Source organism: Homo sapiens, chromosome 2 (genome assembly GCF_000001405.40).
Source record: "Homo sapiens chromosome 2, GRCh38.p14 Primary Assembly".
In the NCBI taxonomy this organism is placed as follows: domain Eukaryota; kingdom Metazoa; phylum Chordata; class Mammalia; order Primates; family Hominidae; genus Homo; species Homo sapiens.
Genome location: NC_000002.12, coordinates 63,287,033 through 63,309,796, shown reverse-complemented (window position 1 = coordinate 63,309,796; position 22,764 = coordinate 63,287,033). Strand labels below are relative to the sequence as shown.

At 39.7% G+C, this 22,764-nt stretch overlaps 1 protein-coding gene across 21 annotated transcripts in view; it reads left to right on the top strand.

Annotated features, from left to right (window-relative positions):
• Positions 1–22,764, top strand: part of WDPCP (WD repeat containing planar cell polarity effector) — a 721,268-nt gene that overhangs the window by 531,030 nt on the left and 167,474 nt on the right. Inside the window, exon 14 of one of the 21 annotated variants that reach the window (XM_017004253.3) lies at positions 919–5,618. The exons of the other annotated variants lie outside the window; for them this stretch is intronic. Coding sequence (XP_016859742.1) covers positions 919–960 — 42 coding nt within the window. The 3' untranslated portion in view covers positions 961–5,618. Of the gene's footprint in view, positions 1–918; positions 5,619–22,764 lie in introns of those variants that run through there. 21 annotated transcript variants of the gene reach the window in all.

Below are 22,764 nucleotides of genomic sequence, written 5' to 3'. Positions count from 1 at the left end.
TGTTTTAATTCTGTTATTGATTTGTAACTTCATCCCATTGTGATGGGAGAAGATACTTTGATGTCTATCGTTTTAAATCTATTGAAACTTAGTTTATCCTAGAAAATGTCTTATATAGACATGAGAATAATGTGTATGTTTTGGGGAAGAATATTTTGTATTTGTACAACTAGTTGATTTATTGTGTTGTTTAAGACTTCTGTTTCCTTCTGTCTGGTTTTCTAGCAATTATTAAGAGTACGGTATTGAAGTCTCCAACTACTATTGTAGACTATTTCTCACTTCAATTCTGTTTGGTTTATTTTAAGAGACAGGGTCTCACTATGTTGCTCAGACTGGACTTGAACCCTTTGGTTTATGCAATCCTGCCACATCAGCCTCCCAAGTAGCTGGGATTACAGGCATGCACCACCGTACCCCTCCTGTCAGTTTTTGCTTCATATATTTGATGATACGGTATTAGGTACATAAATGTTAATTATTGTTATTTTTCTTGCTGTATTTAAATTTGCATCAGTATATGCCATCTTTTAACTTTTTTTAGTTTTACATTCAGAAGTACATGGACAGGTTTGTCACATGGATACACTGAGTAATGGTGAGGATTGGGCTTGTGGTGTACCCCTTATCCAAATAATAAACATTGTATCCAATAGGTAAATTTCTAACCCTTACTCCTCTACCAACTTTGGAGTCCCCAGTGTCTGTTATTTCCATCTTTATGTCCATGTGTACCCAATATTTAGCTCACACTTATAAGAGAGAATATGTGGTGTTTGATTACCTCAGTTACTACAACTAGGATAATGTTCTCAAACTCCATCCATGTTGCTGCAAAGGACATGATGTCATTCTTTTTTATGGCTGAACAGTATTTCATGATGTATATTTACCACATTTTCTTTGATTATACTTTAGGTTCTTGGACACATGTGCGGAACATGCAGGTTTGTCACATAGGTATACATGTGCCATTGGTTTTCTGCACCCATCAACCCATCATCTACATTAGTTATTTCTCCTAATGCTGTCTCTCCCCTAGCCCCCGACCCCCTGACAGGCCTCAGTGTGTGATGTTCCCCTCCCTGTGTCCATGTGTTCTCACTCTTCAGCTCCCACTTATGAGTGAGAACATGTGCTATTTGGTTTTCTGTTCCTGTGTTAGCTTGCTGAGAATGATGGTTTCCAGCTTCATCCATGTCCCTGCAAAGGACATGAACTCATCCTTTTTTATGGCTGCATAGTATTCCATGGTGTATATGTGCCACATTTTCTTTATCCAGTCTATCACTGATAGGCATTTGGGTTGGTTCCAAGTCTTTGCTATTGTGAATACTGCTACAATAAACATACGTGTGCATATGTCTTTATAGTAGAATGATTTATAATCCTTTGGGTATATACCCAGTAATGGGATTGCTGGATCACATGTTATTTCTAGTTCTACATCCCTGAGGAATTGCCACACTGTCTCCCACAATGGTTGAACTAATTTGTGCTCTCACCAACAGCGTTAAAACGTTTCTATTTCTCCACATCCTCTCCAGCATCTGTTGTCCTGAGTTTTTAATGATCACCATTCTAACTGGCGTGAGATGGTATCTCATTGTGGGTCTGATTTGCATTTCTCTAATGACCAGTGATGATGAGCTTTTTTTCATATGTTTGTTGCTGCATAAATGTCTTCTTTTGAGAAGTGTCTGTTCATATTCTTTGCCCACTTTTTGATGGGGTTGTTTGTTTGTTTTCTTGTACATTTGTTTAAGTTCTTTGTTTAATTTCTTTGTGTTTAAGTTCTTGGTAGATTAGCCCTTTGTCAGATGGATACATTGCAAAAATTTTCTCCCATTTTGTAGGTTGCCTGTTTACTCTGATGATAGTTTCTTTTGCTGTGGAGAAGCTCTTTAGTGTAGTTAGATCCCGTTTGTCAATTTCGGCTTTTGTTGCCATTGCTTTTGATGTTTTAGTCATGAAGTCTTTGCCCATGCCTGTGTCCTGAATGGTATTGCCTAGGTTTTCTTCTAGGGTTTTTATGGTTTTAGGTCTTACATTTAAATGGTTAATCCATCTTGAGTTAATTTTTGTATAAGGGGTCCAGTTTCAGTTTTCTGCACATAGCTAGCCAATTTTCCCAACACCATTTATTAAAAAGGGAATCCTTTCCCCATTGCTTGTTTTTGTCAGGTTTGTCAAAGATCAAATGATTGTAGATGTGTGGCATTATTTCTGAGGCCTCTGTTCCATTTGCCTATATATCTGTTTTTGGTACCAGTACCACGCTGTTTTGTTTACCGTAGACTTGTAGTATAGTTTGAAGTCAGGTAGCATGGTGCCTCCAGCTTTGTTCTTTTTGCTTAGGATTGTCTTGGCAATGTGGGCTCTTTTTTGATTCCATATAAAATTTAAAGTAGTTTTGTTTCTAATTCTGTGAAGAAAGTCAATGGTAGCTTGATGGGGATAGCATTGAGTCTATAAATTATTTTGGGCAGTATAGCCATTTTCATGATATTGATTCTTCCTATCCATGAGCATGGAATATTTTCCATTTGTTTGTGTCCTCTGTTATTTCCTTGAGCAGTGGTTTGTAGTTCTCCTTGAAGAGGTCCTTCACATTCCTTGTCAGTTGTATTCTGAGGTATTTTATTCTCTTTGTAGCAATTATGAATGGGAGTTCACTCATGATTTAGCTCTCTGTCTGTTATTGGTGTATAAGAATGCTTGTGATTTTTGCACATTGATTTTGTATCCCGAGACTTTGCTGAAGTTGCTTATCAGCTTAAGGAGATTTTGGGCTGAGACGATGGGGTTTTCTAAATATACAATCATGTCATCTGCAAACAGAGACAATTTAACTTCCTCTCTTCCTATTTGATTGCCCTTTATTTCTTTCTCTTGCCTGATTGCCCTGGCCAGAACTTCCATCACTATGTTGAATAGGAGTGCTGAGAGAGGGCATCCCTGTCTTGTGCTGGTTTTCAAAGGGAATGCTTCTATCTTTTGCCCATTCAGTATGATACTGGCTGTGGGTTTGTCATAGATCGGTCTTATTATTTTGGGCTATGTTCCATCAATACCTAGTTTATTGAGAGTTTTTAGCATGAAGTGGTGTTGAATTTTATGGAAGGCCTTTTCTGCATCTATTGTGATAATCATGTGGTTTTTGTCATTGGTTCTGTTTATGTGATGGATTACGTTTATTTATTTGCATATGTGGAACCAGCCTTGCATCCCAGGGATAAAGCTGACTTGATCATGGTGGACAAAGCTTTTTGATATGCTGCCAGAGTCAGTTTGCGAGTATTTTATTGAGGATTTTTACATTGATTTCCATCAGGGATATTGGGCTGAAATTTTCTTTTTTTGTTGTGACTCTGCCAGGTGTTGGAATCAGGTTGATGCTGGCCTCATAAAATGAGTTAGGGAGGAGTCCCTCTTTTTCTATTGTTTGGAATAGTTTCAGAAGGAATGGTACCAGCTCCTCTTTGTACCTCTGGTAGAATTCGGCTGTGAATCTGTCTGGTCCTGGGCTTTTTTTGGTTGGTAGGCTATTAATTACTGCCTCAATTTCAGAACTTGTTATTGGTCTATTCAGGTATTCAACTTCTTCCTGGTTTAGTCTTGGGAGGGTGTACGTGTCCAGGAATTTGTCTATTTCTTCTAGATTTTCTAGTTGATTTGCAGAGAGGTGTTTATAGTATTCTCTGATGGTAGTTTGTATTTCTGTGATCATTGGTGGTATCCCCTTTATCATTTTTTATTGTGTCTATTTGATTCTTCTCTATTTTCTTTATTAGTCTGGCTAGCAGTCTATGTATTTTGTTAATCTTTTCAAATAGGTCCTGGATTCATTGATTTTTGAAGGGTCATTTGTGTCTCTATCTCCTTCAGTATGCTTTGTGAAGTTCTTGTGCTGTATTTTTCATCTCCATCAGGTCATTTATGTTCTTCTCTAAACTGGTTATTCTAGTTAGCAATTCCTCTAACTTTTTTTCAAGGTTCTTAGCTTCCTTGCATTGGGTTAGAACATGCTCCTTGAGCTCGGTGGAGTTTGTTATTACCCACCTTCTGAAGCCTACTGTCAATTCGTCTCACTCATTCTCCATCCAGTTTTGTTCCCTTGCTGGCAAGGAGCTGTGATCCTTTGGAGGAGAAGCAGCTTTCTGGTTTTTGGAATTTTCAGCCTTTTTGCCCTGGTTTTTCCTCATCTTTGTGGATTTATCTACCTTTGGTCTTTGATGCTGGTGACCTTTGGATGGGGTTTTTGTGTGGACGTCTTTTTTGTTGATGTTGATGCTATTTCTTTCTGTTTGTTAGTTTTCCTTCTAGTAGTCAGGCCCTTCTACTGCAGGTCTGCTGGAGTTTGCCTGGGTATCACCAGCAGAGGCTGCAGAACAGCAAAGATCGCTGCCTGTTCCTTCGTCCCAGAGGGGCATCTGTCAGATGCCAGCAGGAGCTCTCTTGTATGAGGTGTCTATTGACCCCTGCTGGGAGATGTCTCCCAGTCAGGAGTCACGGGGGTCAGGGGCACACTTGAGGAGGCAGTCTGTCCCTTAGAGCTTGAGTGCTGTGCTGGGAGATCCACTGCTCTCTTCAGAGCTAGCAGGCAGGAATGTTTAAGTCTGCTGAAGCTGTGCCCAAAGTCGCCCTTTCCCCCAGGTGCTCTGTCCCAGGGAGGTGGGAGTTTTATCTATAAGCCCCTGACTGGGGCTGCTGCCTTTCTCTCAGAGATGCCCTGCCCAGAGAGGAGGAATCTAGGGAGGCAGTCTGGCTACCGCGGCTTTGCTGATCTGTGGTGGGCTCTTCCCATTTTGAACCTCCTGGCAGCTTTGTTTACAACGTGAGGGGAAAACTGCCTACTCAAGCCTCAATAATGGTGGATGCCGCTCTCCCCACCAGGCTCGAGTGTCCCAGGTGGACTTCAAACTGCTGTGCTGGCAAGAATTTCAAGCTAGTAGATCTTAGCTTGCTGGGCTCCATGGGGGTGGGATCCGCTGAGCTAGACCACCTGGCTCCCTGCCTTCAGCCCCCTTTCCAGGGAAGTAAACGGTTGTGTCTCACTGGCATTCCAGGCACCACTGGGGTATGAAAAAAAACTCCTGCAGCTAGCTCGGTGTCTTCCCAAACAGCCACCAAGTTTTGTGCTTGAAACCCAGGGCCCTGGTGGTGTAGGCACCCGAGGGAATCTCCTGGTCTGCAAGTTGCGAAAACCATGGGAAAAGTGTAGTATCTGGGCCTAAATGCACTGTTCCTCACGGTACAGTCCCTCACAGCACAGTCCCTCACAGCTTCCCTTGGCTAGGGGAGGGAGTTCCCCGACCCCTTGTGCTTCCCATGTGAGGCGATGCCCCACCCTGCTTCAGCTCGCCTTCTGTGGGCTGCACCCACCATCTAACCAGTCTCAATTTGATGAATCAGGTACCTCAGTTGGAAATGCAGAAATCACCCACCTTCTGTGTTGATCTCACTGGGAGCTGCAGACTGGAGCTGTTCCAATTCAGCCATCTTGCCAGCCACCCATATGTCACATTTTCTTTATACAATCAACCATTGATGAAGACTTCAGTTGATTCCATGACTTTACTATTGTGAATAATACTGCAATAAACATATGAGTGCAAGTGTCTTTTTTATATAATAATTTATTTTCCTTTGGGTAGATGCCCAGTTGTGGGATTGCTGGGTTGAATGGTAGTTTTATTTTTAGTTCTTTGTAAAACATCTATACTGTTTTTTATAGAAGTAGTACTAATTCACATTCCCACCAACAGTGTACAAGGGCTCCCTTTACTCCACATCCCTGCCTACATCTGTTTTTTTTTTTTTTTTGACTTTTTACTAATAGCCATTCTGAGTCATGTAAGATGAAATGTCAGTGTGGTTTTAATTTTAATTTCTCTGATAATTAGTGATGTTGAGCATTTTTTCATATGTTTATTGACTGCTTATATGTCTTCTTTTGAGAAATGTCTATCTCTTTTGCCCACTTTTAATGGGATTGTTTGTTCTTTTCTCTTGCTGGGTTGTTTACCAAGGCCTTCTTTAGCATTCCCATTGCCCCAGAGAGCCAAGACCAATATGCATTCATCTGGGAAAAGAGAACGGTGAATCTTTACCGTGTTGCCCCTGGTATCTTTACTTAGCCCCACTGTCTGTTGTGGCCAAAAGGCCTCCAACCTCAGTCAGTGGACCACTCCAGAGGGGTATGTGTTTTCCATTATACTGATGATATCATGCTAACTTCTGAGTCTTTTTCTAGCTTAGAAACTGCAGCCCCAACCTTGCTGTCTTACTTGACCTACAGAGGTACAATGGGTGGTCAATGCAAAGTCCAGGGTCCAGGCGTATCAGTCAAATACCTGGGTTTCATCTAGTGGGGTGAGACTAAATTTATTCAGTCTACCATTATAGAATAAGGTAAAGGCCAACCCACGTCCTACCACACCAGAGCAGCTGCAAACCTTCTTAGGCCTTCTAGGGTATTGATGTCCTTTTATTTCCCCATTTGGTACAACTCCTTAGGCCCCTAGATGGCTTAGTCAAGAAGGAGGGCCACTGGAACTGGTCCACAAAGGAGGATGTGGCCTTGAACAAGCTAAAATCGCAGTGAAATAAATGCAGGCCTTGGAAGTTATAGTGCAGGGATAGCCTTGTAAATTGGAGGTAGCCAGTTACTCTGAGGGGCTTGGGTGGGGCCTGTAGGAAACACACGGACATATACATGTGCCTTTAGGATTCTGGTACCATCTATTGAAGTGGCTACTTTGGGGTATATACCCTGACCCCACTCAGAAAACTGGCTTCTGATTTTGTGGCCCTCACCCAGGAACTGACTTAGCACAAGAAGATAGTCACCATTGTAAAATGGCAGAGACTAAAACAAAATATTGCCATGTGTTTACAGGTCATGTTCCCAAGGACATGAAACAAGATGGAGGCCTGTAGCCAAGTTTGTTACTGATCATTTTGTTGGGCTGGCTTGAACAGCAGTCGTATGGGGTCCTGGGTCTACATCTTAACCTAAAGTACCCTTTCTTCTGACAGAACCATACAGAAAGACACACAAAGCACACAAGAGTGTCTACAGCTTGACACCAACCTCACAAATCCTTTTTCATTAAAACTTTACAGAGAATATTAGCAATTATCCTTATTTATCCCTTTTACCAATTTGCACAGGGAGAGAGAAGCCAAAAGCCCAACTGGTAAGAAATTTTTACCCTTTTGTTGGCATGTCAGGCTTCTGGGTTCCCTTCCTCCTAGCTCAACTCTAAGCCAAGCATTTTAATGGTTGGGAAATTAATTTTTCCAAAGTTGGAAGAACATTATAAAAGAGAAGCCATTTTAAACCATGAAAGAAGGAAAAACACCATAGAAAAGTCTGGTAGTTTCAATTAAGATTGTGAACAGGTATTTCCTATCCTACTGGGAATGGTATTTGCTGTATTTCTTCCCCTTTTCTATTTTCTCTTTTCTCTTTTGGCCCACTATAGGAGACATATTGCTCATCTTTGATATTCTCTGATGCTTGCAGAGCTGCCTGCTTCTCAGCTGTGGTTAGGGTTTGGCTTAGGAGCAGCCTAACATCCTTCTATGAGAGGTCAAATACATGAGTTAAATTTTGGAAAGCTTCTATATACCTATCAGAGTCGTTAGAAAATTGACCTAAGTCTCCCTTTATTTGCCTAAGGTCCTGTAATGACAAGGGAACTTGAAGGGGCCCCAAATGAGGGGGATCATGAGGTGGTTCCCTTCGAAGTTGCTTCTCTAATTTTGGAGAAATATTCTTTTTGGGTCTGCCCGATATGATTGCTAAAAGCACTAGGTTGATTTTGTAACACTTGCAAAGATCTAGTAAAAAGGCCATGCCCTTGTGCAAAAGAAAATGAGCTGCTTTTTCTTTAAAGTCTCAGGGTGAAAGAAGTCCCAGTGCTTCAGAATGCACTCCAAGGGAGTGCAGGTTTCAGATAGTACCCATCTAGAAAGAAAAGTGGAAAAAAAAAAAAAAGGCATCCCTTTGTCTCCTTCCTTTTGGTGTGACTCAGTGTGGAGAGGAAGACAGTGGGGGTGTCCCCTTGCTGTTTTCCCTCTATAGTTCCTGGGTCCTGACACCTTGTTGAACATGCTGCTCATGGTTGCTGGCGTGACCCCCAGCCATGGAACCAGAGGAACTAAGAGATTGGGATTAGTCATGCTTACCCAAGTGGCTCTAGTTCTCTGCCTGTGATTTCCCTTTGACTTCCTAGATTTGTGTGACCTGCCTGGCTCCCTGAAAAATGGATCTCCAGAAAAACTACATAATAGTTGAAGAAGGCCACTTTAATGGAGGGGGTATGCTAGATTGAACTTTATATCCTGCTATTATGGCCTGTGCTGAAGCGTTTACCCATAGAGAATGGTTCAGGCTAACTTCTGAACTTAAAATCCCCTTACTAATTAAGTGCCACTCTAATTGGAGGCAGAACAGGTACCTTAAAAGAACGTAGAGACTGAATGGCCATTTTCCTGCTGATGGGACAGTATCAAGACTAAAATTTGGCTTTGGAGGATATTTTAATGCAATTGTTGAAGGCAGAATTTTCCCGTTTACCAAAGCAGCAGAAAGCCTGGTTTCCAGTAGAGAGGCTCAAAAAGGGAAGATAATTGAGAGGCTAGGGTATTTTGTTGAAGGACCAACAATGTGCCTCATGGATCCCTGTCCCACTAGGTGGCACTGTTGACCTTGAAACACCATGTGCTCTCTAGACCAAGGGCAGAGTGACCTTGACATGCCATGTGCTCTTCAGACCAAGGGCAGATAGAGACCTGGAAATGCCATGTGCTCTACAGACCAAGGACAGAGAGAGACCTGGAAATGCCACATGCTCTCCAGACCAAAGGCAGAGAGAGACCTGGAAATGCCACGTACTCTCTAGACCAAGGACAGAGAGACCTGGAAATGCCATGTACTCTCCAGACCAAGGGCAGAGACCTGGAAATGACATGTGCTCTTCAGACCAAAGGCTAAGAGAGAGACAGTCACTGTGGTGGGGGGAACCCTCTGTTCCTAGAAAATCACAAAGACATCTTCCCTTGAGCTATATCCCCAGTTACTAGACATTCTCTGATATTGCCAAACAATATTACTTACCTGAACTGTAAAACTTCCCACATATATTTCATACACAGGATAAGAGATATGATAGTTGCAAACAGGAAAGGAGGAAATTATGATAGGAAAGTTGGGGATCCTGTTGCTGACACCCCATCAGGGCAGTCAGAGGCTGGGGTCAGTCCAGAAGCCTTTGAATAATACCAGGTGGGAGCTCTGGCCAGAAGAAATATTCATTTGCCCTAGGACTTCTTTCAGTCCCATGCAACAACTAAGTCCTCCATGAAAGGTCTAAAATGGAGGCTGAGAGCCTCAGAAGGAAAGGACAGAGTTGGAGTTCGCTCCCCTCTACTCACCATTTTGATGAATGTTGTACTTGGTATCCTAGACAAGGTTCCCATTATGAAGTGGCTACATTGTCTGGGTTATAAACCCTGGGGTTCATTGTCATGCACCAGGAAAATTTAGGGCACAGACACACATGAGGAGTTTAGGAACAGAGGTTTAATAGGTAGAAGAGAAGAGAAAGAGCAACAGCTTCCTCCGTAGAGGAAGAGGTCTCCTAGCAGAAAGGGCCAGCTGGCCAAGTTTATAGTCCAGTTTGAGGAGGTGGTGTCTGATTTATATAGGGCTCATAGATTGGTTCCATCAGGTATGATGTTTACATAGCAAGCAGGGAAGGCTAGTTGTCCCAGGGCTTTCCAGTTGATCAGTGCCATCTTATCTGCTCCTTACAGCACACGTGGCTGGCAGAGAAGGGAAGATGGAGCCGCCATCTTAAAAATGTCCAGTCCTTAGTTCCTGCCGGCATTCATCCATGCAAGCTCCCAGCTTGCAGGCTGTTCTTTGTTAGAAAATGATCGGGGCTGCTTTTTATTAAACAGAAAAGCCTTTCCAAGGACTCCCATGTCCTTGCTATCTGCCTAAGGGATTTCTTCTTAACTCCTGCATCACTATGGAAGGGGACTGGAGTTAAATGTAATGTCGCAGAGCAACAACTTTGTGCTACATATTATGCCTTACAAGTTGAGGACATTACAAAGAGGGTCTCGAGGCTCGTATGCACCCCGTACCTCACAGCAGGTTGGCTGAAGGGTACCTTCCAGAAACCAAAGTCTATGAATGCCCAGACTGGCCAAATGTGAAGCCTGCCTTCAACAGAGGAGCACATGAACTAATAGCCCCTTGATTGCAGAGCTCCATTTGATGCTTGGACCTGTCACTTATGTTACAACTGAAGGACAGTCTTCAGTGGAGGATGCTGAGCCTCCACAAATCCCTTCCTTTTTACAGTAGGGACAGGGTCCAATTCCTAACCAGGCCTGGTACACAGATGGCTCATCACGATGCAATCCTTGCAACTAGACAGTTGTGGCCACTCAGCCATCCACTGATAGTATCTGGTTTGATACAGGTGAAGGGCATAGTAGCCAATGGGCTGAGCTGTAGGCAGCTTGGATGGTCCTCCTTCATAAGCTGGACCCAGTAGTCCTATGCACTGACAGCTGGGCTGTCTTTAAGGGACTCACAATGTGGCTACTATGGTGGAAAACACAGGATTGGTCAATAGCAGCCTGTGCCCTTTCAGGTGCTGACGTGTGGAATGACGTTCTCCATGCATCCAGAGGATGCATGTAACAGTCTACCATGTGGATGCCCACATTGCATCTACACCACCTGGAAATCAACAGGTAGACAAGCCTAGCCTACATTCTCCTCCTCAAGGAAGTGCCCACAAAAGATGTGGCTTACTGGCTACATAAAAAGACAGGACATTGGGGACCACATACCTTTTGGGACATAGTGAAAATTGAGGACTACCACTATGATATAAAGATATAGTACTCATCTATCAGCAATGTCCTACCTGTGCACAGCAACACCTCAGGCCCTTTCCACACAATACTGAACAGATAGGCCAGGGCTGCAGCCAAGTGCAACAGTGGCAGGTAGACTACATAGGACCTTTGCCTCTATGTAATGGCTGCCAAGGAACCCAGTAATGGCTCAGCCCAAGTCCCAAAACCTCAAAAGTAAGGAAGTCAACATTGTGGCCTCACAGCTGTGGCTGAAGGCCCGAGAGCCCCTGGCAAACCACTGATGTAAGTCCAAGAGTCCAAAAGCTGAAGAACTTGGAGTCTTGAGAGCAGGAAGCATCCAGCATGGGAGAAAGATAAAGGCAAGAAGACTCAGCAAGTCAGCTTCTTCCACCTTCTTCTGCTTGCTTTTCTAGCCATGCTGGCAGCCAATGGGATAATGCCCACCCACATTGTGGGTGGGTCTTCCTGAAGGTGGTTCTTCCTCTCCCAGTCCACTGATTCAAATGTTAATCTCTTCTGGCGACACCCAGAAACAATACTTTGCATACGTCAATCCAATCAAGTTGACAATATTAACCATCACAGATGGCTATCCCCACAGCAATGTAACCGATCCCTTCAAATAACCAAAGATATGTGGCTGGGTGGCAGTATAACTCTCTCCACATGGGGGCCTATCCCTCCCCTTGGGGATTGTTATGGGCCGTGACACCCACAGCTGGCCTTACTTACCCTCTAATTGGACTGGTATATGCACCTGGTGGCATCCTTGTCAGTATGCGTTGTGTCCCGTTTAGATACCATGCATTCCTATTCACTGGGAGAGTGTAAAAGTCAGGTACTGCCAGAAGCATGCATTCTGGAGGTTTTACCCTTTGGCCATTTTTTCTCCCCAAGTGGCAACAATAGATATAGATAGAGCTGCAAGTTGAGGCTAAACATATGGCTGCAGCCATTAATGATACCAATCATGCTATTCTTCTTCTTACTGTAGAGACCACCCAAATCAGACACATTACTTTGCAAAATGGCATGGACATCTTAACTGCTGCCCTGGGTAGAACCTGTGCATTAGTTAAAACTGAATGTTGTGTATATATCCCTGATTACTCTCACAGTGTAACTAGGCCATGCGGGTCCTAAATACCAGTATTTAGGTCTACCCTGTGCATTATATTCTATAGTGTATATTATAATAACACTATAGAATCTCTGTCTTACACCCCTATAACAACATGGTTAAATCAACTCCCAAGCACTTGGTAGAACTTTCTATCCAGTGAGATTGTCATTATATTTGTTATTCTTTTTTGTTGTTGTAGTTTGTATTGCTGCTGTAGCATCTGGCTGAAATGCTCCTCCACATACCTGACTGTAGGAGAATAATAGAGGAAATGGCATGATAAGAACGAGAGGGCCATTCAAGAGTATGTTAGGGTGGAGTGTATGGCACATGCACCTGACAGCAATAACTTAAGTATACCCTGAGAATGATCCTGTTGTCTTACAAGAATGTGTGTCTGGAGTCCTAAGCTAAGGAATCCAAGAGTGACGAACCTGAGGATCTATTCCATATTTACGGAGGACATCTGAACCCCCAGCCCACCCCTTGGAATGCAGGCTGTACCGGGGATTATTTTGGCCAAGTGGAGGTTGTTAAGTGAAAATGCTATATAAACCACATGCTTTTTACAAGCGGTAACAGTTCTCCTGTCCAACTCACCACCTCTGGACCATCCTTTTATGTAAGTTCCTCACTAAATGCTGTGCCTCGTTTGCTGGCTCCGGGTCTCTTCTTCAGCCTCTCAGACATGGTGCCATCCTTATTGGAGTCAGTAGGCATCCAGAACAACAGCATTCAGATAATGTGATGCTTTCAGCTTCATTCTTTTTCCTTAGGATTGCTTTGGCTATTTGGGCTCTTTTTTGATTCGATAAGAACTTTAGGATTGTTTTTTCTAATTTTGTGAAATGACATTGGTACTTCGATAGGAATTGCATTGAATCTGTAGATTGCTTTGGGCTGTGTGGTCATTTTAACAATACTGATTTTTCAAATCCATGAGCATGGAATGTTTTCCCATTTTTTTTGTATCATCTGTGATTTCTTTTATCAGCATTTGTGGTTCTCCTTGTAGAGATCTTTCACATCCTTGGTTAAATATACTACTAGGTATTTTAATTTTTATGGCTGCTGTAAATGGGATTGAGTTCCTGATTTGACTCTCAGCTTGAATGTTATTGGTTTATAGAAATGCTACTGATTTCTGTATGTTGATTTTGTATTTGGAAATTTACTGAAGTCATTTTTCAAGTCTAGAAGTCTGTTGGAGGAGTCTTTAGGATTTTCTTGGTATAAGATCATGTAATCAGTGAATAGAGATAGTTTGACTACTCTTTTCCTAGTTGGATACGTTTTATTTCTTTCTCTTGCCTGATTGCTGCAGCTAGGACTTCCCAGTATTATGTTGAATAGTAGTGCTGAGAGTGGAAATCCTTGTCTTGTTCCTGTTTTAAGGGGGAATGCTTGCAAATTTTCTCCATTCAGTATGATGTTTGCTGTGGGCTTGTCATAGATGGCCGTTTTTATTTTGAAGTATGTTCCCTCAATGCATAGTTTGCCAAGGGTTTTTATCATGAAGGGATGCTGGATTTTATCAAATGCTTTTTTTTTTTTTGCATCTACTGAGATGATCATATGGTTTTTGTTTTTAATTCTGTTTATGTGGTGAATCACAATTATTGATTTGTGAATGTTGAACCATCCTTGTATCCCTGGAATAAAGCCCACTTAATCGTGAGTTACCTTTTTAATATGTTGTTAGATTTGGTTTGCTAATATTTTGTTGAGGATATTTACATCTGTATTTATTAGGAATACTGGCCTGTATTATTAGGAATATTTGTTGTGTCTTTGCATGATTTTGGTATCAGGATGATACTGGTTTTGTAGAATGAATTAGGGAGGAATCCTTCCAACTTGATTTTTTTTTTTTTTTTTTTTTTTTGGAATAGTTTCACTAAGTTTGGTACCAGCTCTCCTTTGTATATCTGATAAAAGTAGTCCATGAGTTCATCTGGTCCTGGGCTTTTTTGTTGTTGTTGTTGTTCGAAGATTTTTTTATTACTGATTCAATTTCAGTACTCTTTATTGGTCTGTTCAGGATTTCTATTTCTTCCTGGCTCAATCTTGGGAGGACGTATAGGAATTAATATATTTCCTCAAGGTTTTCTGGTTTATGTGTGTATATATGTTCATAGTAATCTCTGATGATCTTTTATATTTCTTATCAGTTGCAATTTCACTGTTATCACTTCTGATTGTACTTATATAATATTCTTTTTTTTATCTCTTGTAACCTTTTTAAATTTAAAGTCTGTCTTTTTTCTGAATATTAGTATTACCATACCTGTTATTTTGGTTACTATTTGCATGGAATATCTTTTTTTTCATCTTTTCATTTTTAATCTATTAGAGTCTTTGGCTCTATAGTAAATCTCTTACAGCGTATAGTTGAGTCAGTTTTTATCTATTCTGTTAATATGTCTTTTGATTGGAAGTTTGATCCATTTGCATTAAAATTACTAATACAGAGGGTCTTCTGTTATTTTGCCAGTCGTTTTTTATACCATACAGCTTTTTTTGTCCCTCATTTCCTGGATGACTGTCTTTTTCATGTTTGGGTGATTGTTTTTGTAGTGAAATATTTTTTTCTCTCTCTTTCATTTGTGTATATTCTATAGCTATTTTCTTTGCAGTTATCATGGGGATTACATTTAAATATCCTAAAGTTATAAGGCTATAATTTGGATTTACACCTGGTTAATTTTCAGTAACACACAAAAACTCTGCTCCTTCATGCCTTTCTCTACACCCTTTTTGGTTTTTAATGTCACAAAACTACTTTGTTACAAGTTGTTTACTCTATAACATAAACTAATAATTCTTTTAAATGTATCTGTCTCATATAAAATATAAAATGTAGTATTACCAACCAAAGTTACAATAATGCTAGCTTTTAGACTCATAATTTTTAAAATGAATTAGTATCTTAATTTGTATAGAGAGCAAAAGGTGGAATTTTGAACCATTGTTACAATAATGCTAGCTTTTATAATATACCTGGTAGTTAATTTTATTGAGTTTTTTTTTCTTTGTATGGCTTTGAGTAGCTGTCTAGTGCCCTTTTATTTCACCCTACAGGACTCCCTTGCACATGTCCTGCAGGCAAGGTCTAGTGGTAATGAACTCCCTTAGTTTAGGTTTATCTGGGAATTTCTCAATTTCTTCTTCACTTTTGAAGGACAATTTTGCCAGATACGGGATTCTTGGTTGACATTTTTTTTCTTTCAGCACTTTTTTTTTTTTTTTTTTTTTTTCGAAACAGTCTTGTTCTATCACCCAGGCTGGAGTGGAGTGGCATGATCTCAGCTCCCTGCAACCTCCACCTCCCGGGTTCAAGTGATTCTCCTCCCTCAGCCTCCCAAGTAGCTGGGATTACAGGGGCTTGCCAAGATGCCCACCGAATTTTTTGTATGCGTATTTTTAGTAGAGATGGGGTTTCCCCTGTTGGCCAGACTGGTCCTGAACTCCTGACCTCAAGTGATCTGCCTGCCTCAGCCTCCCAAAGTGTGGGGATTACAGGCATGAGCCACCATCCCTGGCCTCTTTTGGCACTTTTATCAGCCCAGTGCTTTCTTACCTCCAAAGCCTTTGATGGGAAATCTACTGGTAGTATTACTTAGGGGCCCTTGTATGTGAAAAATCACTTCTCTCTTTCTGCTTTCAACATTCCCTTTGTCTTTGTATTTTGAACATTTAATTATAATGTGTCTCACAGTGGGTTTATTTGAGTTCATCTTACTTGGAGTTCATTGAGCTTCTTGGATGTTTGTATTCATACCTTTCATCAAATTTGGGGAGTTTTTAGCCATTATTTCTTTTAAGATTTTCTCTGGCAGTTTCTCTTTTCCTTCTGGAGCTCCCATGCTGCATATGTTGATCAGCTTGATGGTATGTCTCAGGTCCGTTAGGCTCTATTCACTTTTCTTCAGTCTTTTTTCTTTCTGTTCCTTAGGTTGATAATGTTTATTGTCCTGTCTTCAAAGTTCCTGATTCTTTTTCTGTCTGCTCAAATCTGGCTTTGAAATCATCTTGTCATTATATTTTCCAGCTCCAGAATTTCTTTCTGGTTTGCTTTTAGGTTTTCTTTTTATTGATGTTTTCATTTTGTTCATTCATAATTTTGACTTTCCCCACATCTTCCTTTAAGTCTTTGAGCAGATTTTAGACAGCTGTTTTACAGTCTAGTAGGTCTGCCATTAGGTCTTTTTTTTTCAGGGACAGTTTCTGTTTATTTTTTCCTCTTAAAATAGGCCATACTTTCCTATTTCATTATATGCCTCATGATTTTTTGTTGCTGAAAACTGGACATTGGAATCTAATAACATGGTAACTGAGAATCAGATTCACATCCTTCTCCAGGGTTTGCTGTTTTTTATTACCGTTTTAGGGTTTTTACAATTGTTTTAGGCTGACTGTGGGCCAAAGATTATACTAAGGTGAATCTTAAGGTCTTCTCAGGCCTTGTCCAAAACTATACTTTTCCTGCCCTTGGAATGTGTGGTAACTTTCTAATTTTCCCCATATATGCAGTTGCATTTCAGAGTCCTAGTCTTTAATGTTTGGTTCGCAAAGGGGCAAGAAAGAAAAATGAAGGGGGTAATGAGAGCACAGCTCCTTAAATCTACTACAAGTCACTTCAGGCAAGGAGGAGGGGTTTGCAATAATGAGGGGTGAGGTGCAATGAGGGGTCAGGTGCCCTGCCTCCCTGTCTGCACCTCTGCAATCAAGCATCAATTCACAGAGCACAGAACCCCTATGTTTTGCTCACCCTCGTTCCAGACAGCTGACCACCAGCTGCTCTGGAAGGTGTGCACAGTTGCCCACCATACAGCTGGGGTGGTGGATGTGTAACAGATACTGTGCTAAGAGCTGAAATTGAAAATTAACTGCAATTTACCATCCAAGCCTTTCCCTAAAAGTTGCAAGCCTCAGTAGACTCCATAGTTCCAAAACAATTACATCAGACAGATTCTGCCAATGCAATTATTATTTAGGTTCCAGATTCCTGGTGCTTTCTACTCTGTCATCTTCCCAGAGATCAGTGTTCAGAATCCAGGGATGATAAGGGATCTAAAATTTTTGATATATCAGAAAGGGGGAATCCGTGTGAAGAGGTGAGACCCAGAAGTCTTTATTGTGGTCCCCTTTGGGTCCTTAATGGAGAGCTAGACTATAGGTAGACAAGGCATAGCAAAAAGCCACTGCTGTGAGATTAAGGGCTAAATGGAGATGCTAGAGTTTTCACAGTTCTGAGAAATACTAGAATTCTGACTCATCCAAACTTAAGCATCCTCATTGGGCATTTGTATAAAATCCCACATTAAACATGTCTTATATTTACTAAAAACAAAAAATTAGACAATTTTTTGTTCTGTTGTGAGATTTTTTTTTTAAATAAAACTGTTAGGATAGAAAATCCAGCTGCATTAAATGATGATAATGTTGATATCCTTCTCCATGACCCTCAACCTGATAATTCTATTACAGGGTTATTTTGTGGTCTTTTTAAACCTTCTCATAAATTCATTATGGAGACTAAAAGAGCCAACTTTCAAATTGCTAACAAGATCTTTCCATTTCCTCTTTGGGTTTGTCTTTTCTTTTCTTTTTCTTTTTTTTTTTTTTTTTTTGAGCCGGAGTCTTGCTCTGTCGCCCAGGCTGGAGTGCAGTGGCGCGATCTCGGCTCACTGCAAGCTCCACCTCCCGGGTTCACGCCATTCTCCTGCCTCAGCCTCCCGAGTAGCTGGGACTACAGGCGCCCGCCACCGCGCCCGGCTAATTTTTTGTATTTTTAGTACAGACGGGGTTTCAACGTGTTGGCCAGAATGGTCTCGATCTCCTGACCTCATGATCCGCCCTCCTCGGCCTCCCAACATGCTGGGATTACAGGCGTGAGCCCCCGCGCCCGGCCTTCTTTTCTTTTTCTTTTTCTTTTCTTTTCTTTTTTTTTTTTTGTAAGAGAATCTCACTCTGTTGCCCAGGCTGGAGTGCAATGGCACAATCTCAGCTCACTGCAACCTCTGCCTCCTGCATTCAAGTAATTCTCCTGCCTCTCCCTCCCAAGTACCTGGGATTACAGGCATAAGCCACCATGCCCAGCTAATTTTTGTATTTTTAGTAGAGATGGGTTTTCACCATGTTGGCCAGGCTTGTCTCAAACTCCTGGCCTTAAGAGATCTGCCCACCTTAGCCTCCCAAAGTGCTGGAATTACAGATGTGAACGACCATGCCCAGCCTCCTCTTTGTTTTTCATTTCCCTAGATTTGTAATCCAAAAATCAGAGACACAAAAACACCATCACTATGGAGACATTAATTTGCCTTATTCTTCCTTCTCTTTGACAGTGAAAAATAAGTCTGTGTAGCACATACAAAACTGTAATTGACTCTCTGGTGCAGCTGCCATTGGGTCTTTCCTATAAGAAACTGTATTAGCCTTCCTTTTAAATGTGTTCTGGGTAATAAGTCATCAGAAATGTTCAAGGATTTTCAAGGAAATGATGAACATAATGATTGAAAAGATAGGGATTCTCAGGAGAAACATAGAAACTGTATTTTTTTTAAAAGCAAAATAGAAATTCTAGAAGTAAGAAATATAAAACCTGAAATGAAACATTTACTCAGTAGAAGATTGGACATAATAAAGGGTCAGTGAACTTAAAGACAGATCAGTATAAAGTATCCAGTCTAAAGAAAACAAAAATATTTCAAAAAATGAGCAGAGTCTCAGTGACTTATGGAACAAAATCAAATAGTCTAAAATACATGTAATTGGAGCTTGGTGAAAAATATTGGCCTACAGATCCAAAAATCTCAGTGAATTCCAAATATAAGAAATCAATACCTAGGCACACCATATCTTGGCACAGCATAGACAAATTACTGAAAACTAGTGATGAGAGATAAATCTTTAAAATACCCAGGAAACAAAAAATTGTATCTTTAAAATACCCAGGAAACAAAAAAGAGCAACAGCTAATACGAATTATGACTGACTTCAAATCAGAAACAGTAATGCCAAAAGATAATGGAACAGCATCATCAACATGCTAAACAAAACTAAAACTCTCAACTCAAAATCTTATATCCAGTGAAAATCATCCTTAAGTGAGGGTGAAATAAAGATACTTTTAAATTAGTGAAATTAAATTGAAATTAGCAGCAGCACTACTAGAAAAGCTGAAGGAGGTTTTTCAGATAGGACAAAAATGATACCAGATGAAAACTCGTCTCTACATGAAAGAATGAAGAGTCCTAAAAATCATAAGCATGTGACTAATATTAAGTCTTTCCTCATTTTAAAATTTCTTTAGTATATAATTATTTAAAGCAAAAGTAATAACAATACATTGTGATAATTATGTCTACAAGAAATGAATAACAGCAACATCAGAGGAGGGGGTAAATGGAATTATATTATTGTAAGATTTGTGCCTTTTAACTGAAGTGGTGCAGTATGAATTCTAGGTAGACTGTGATAAGTTAAAATTGCATATTATGGTGCCAAGAGGATTTTAAAAAAAATGTAAATAGGTATGTTGCTTTAAAAAGTCAAAAGAGGAAATTTTAAAATACTTTTAAAATATTCAATCCAAAAGAAGACAGAAAAGGAGGACAAACAGAAAACAAATAATAAGATGTTACACTTAACCCCAAATATATTAATAAATAACGACCGTAAGTTCAAACTGGATGGATACTCAAAAAGCAGACATGAATTTTTTTTTTTAAAGTCAGAGATTGTCAGACTGGATAAAAAGCAAGAACTAATTATGTTTGGTGTATAAGGGAAGCACTTTAATTATTATGACACAAATAAATTTAAAGAAAAAATGTGAAAAATATATATCCTGCAAACAGTAAATATAAGACAAAGTGACTTCAAAAACAAAGAAAGTATCACCAGAGATAAGAGAGACATTATAATGACAAAAGTTTAATCAGGCAGACATGACAATCCTAAAGAAGATAACTGAGCTTCAAATGCATGAAGCAAAAGCCGACAAACCAAAAAAGAAATAGATAAATATAATAATTCATAGAACATGTCAAAAAATCATGAATATATAAAATATGTGAACCAACTTGATCTGACATTTTTTGAACCTATATCCAACAACTGCAGAATACACATTCTTTTCAAATCTACATGGCATATTCCCTAAATATAAACTGTATTCTGGTTCATAAAATAAAGCTCAACAAATTCTAGAAGATTGAAATATGACAAGAAAGGAATTAAATTACAAGTCAATTACATCCAAATATCTATGAAGTTCCCAAATACAAAGTAAATAATACTTCTCTAAAAAGATCACGGATTAAAGAAGGAATCACAAGAGAAAATGAGAAATATTTTGAATTGAATTTTAAAATGAGAACATAATATATCAAAATGTGTAGGATGATTATAACATGTAGCATAAAATAAGGCACCATGACTTCATAATGATACAAGTAAATAAATCCAACTAATAAATATAAAAGTAAAGATAGAATTAGAAAATGACAATTTGGCAAACATCATAGTGATAATTTTCTAAGACAAGAATCCATAATGGATGCTATAACTGGTGAGAAAAAGTTTCATGAAAAACAGGATATTTACATAGCCTCAAAATATTTTCTCATGAAATATCTATGATTTACAAAGGGAAAAGGAATAACTTTGCAGTGGAGAAGGCTGGCAGATGCCCTGTTAATCAAGTAATCAAAATTTATATTTATATCGTCAATAATGGAAGAAATAAAAGTAATTTGTCACCTCATATATTGCAGTAAGAACACAACATCCGTTCCTTGGTATTCTTGAAAAAAAAATGCATAACCCAAATCTAGTCATGGGGAGTATCGATTGAACCTACATTGAGAGACATTCTAATAACCAGCCTATACTCTTCAAAAATGCTAAGTTCATAGAAAGTAAGAGCAAAGAACTATTCCAGATTAAAGGAGACTAAAGAAGCATTACAACTAAATGCATCAAGAAATGGATATTTGTGATAGGAAGGACATTATTTGAACAACTGGTGAAACTTCAGTGATTAAGTTTGAGTAATGATATCAGTGTTAATTTCATGATTTTATTGGTTTGATTGTGGTTATGTAAGTGAATGTCCTAATTTGTGGAAAAGAAACGCTGAGGTATTCAAGAATATGTTGGCAACTTACTCTGAAATGGTTCAGAAAAAAAGTGATCTTTGTACTGTACTTGAAACTTTTCTGTATCTTTGAGATTACTTAAAAAATATAAATTTTCACTTACTATCACAGATCTAGACTCTACTATTACATGCATTCTCTCAATAGATGCTGTGTGGTTTGGAAGTCGATTTGGCCACAGAAATGCTGCTTTTAATTCTTTGTCTTTAGGACATTATTCTGCTTTTGAAAATTCAGGTAACCTCTCCAAACTCATTATTACTGTGCCATAAAAGCTACTCATTTTACTTTACTCATTGTGGCATAAAAGCCACCCAAGATTGCATCTCTGGCTTCATGTTGGATGGCATGAGGATGAGTATGCCTTCTGAACATTCTCATGTTGGCATCCCTAATTACCTTGGCCATTGGCGCAGGTCCAGTTGGAATGTCAACTGTGCCATCTGATAATGCTATAAAAAGACCTATAGCTGCTGCTCTCCAGCCATCTGTGCCTTCCCTTGGCATGATACTGTTGGGTAGTTTGTCTTTCATTGGCATGATTTTTGTAGGATGGCTTACATCTGCCACTCCTAGGCACTTGCTTGGTGATCAAGTTGACATAGAATTGCTTTGTTGGCACTGTTTTTATATAGAGGAGTTTTATACCTGCTAACTTCTGAAACAAGACTTACCATTTATTACATACCTTATAATTGCAATTTTAAATATTATGAATATAGACTCGTTTTTGCCTCTGTTGACTCAAACCTAGCTTGGACTTTCAAGTTTAAATTCTCCCAATTGGAACTCTCCAGTCAGAAGAATTAACTATGAAATGAAATGTACTTCTGTTTTAAGATATTAGATTGAGTGTACACATAAATCTCTTCTACTTCTGTGCCAAATCTCTGGAAATGATGGAAGATGCATGTGTATGCATGTGTGTTTTAAAAATTTATAACTGGAATTCAAGACAAGAAATTTGATGGACCAGAGTTTGTGAGGAATCTATTGAAAACTGTAAAACAGAATGAAATAGAAGAAACAAAGCAGAAACCAAAATGTCAAGAGGAGAAGATTGCTACCAAAATTGGGAGGAGCACTAAAAAGTTCTTCATGCCCTGAGGAAAGGAATACTAGGAATGGGAAAGTGTTCCTGGGCAAGCAAGGATGAATAATTAGGGTGTTACAACAGGAAGAGTAGCGTGAGTGAGTGGAGAAAAGTCAGAATAAGTGGATACTGATTAAACCCTAGGTATTTTTAGAAAAATAAGTTGATATGAGTATGTTGAAAATTTAAGGATATTCAGCCAAAAAAAAAAAAAGAATGGATGGTGTCATGGACTGAATTATATCCACCCTTCCCCAGTTCATATGTTGAAGCCCTGACCTTCAATGTGACTATATTTGGAGATAGAACCTTTGAAGGAGGTAATTAAGGTTAAATGAGGCCATGAGGATGGGCCCCTTATCCAATATGACTGGTGTCCTTACAAGAAGTAGAAGAGACACCAGGAATGGGTGTGCACAGAAGTAAGACCATGTGAGGACACAGCAAGAAGGTGGCCATCTACAAGCCAAGGAGAG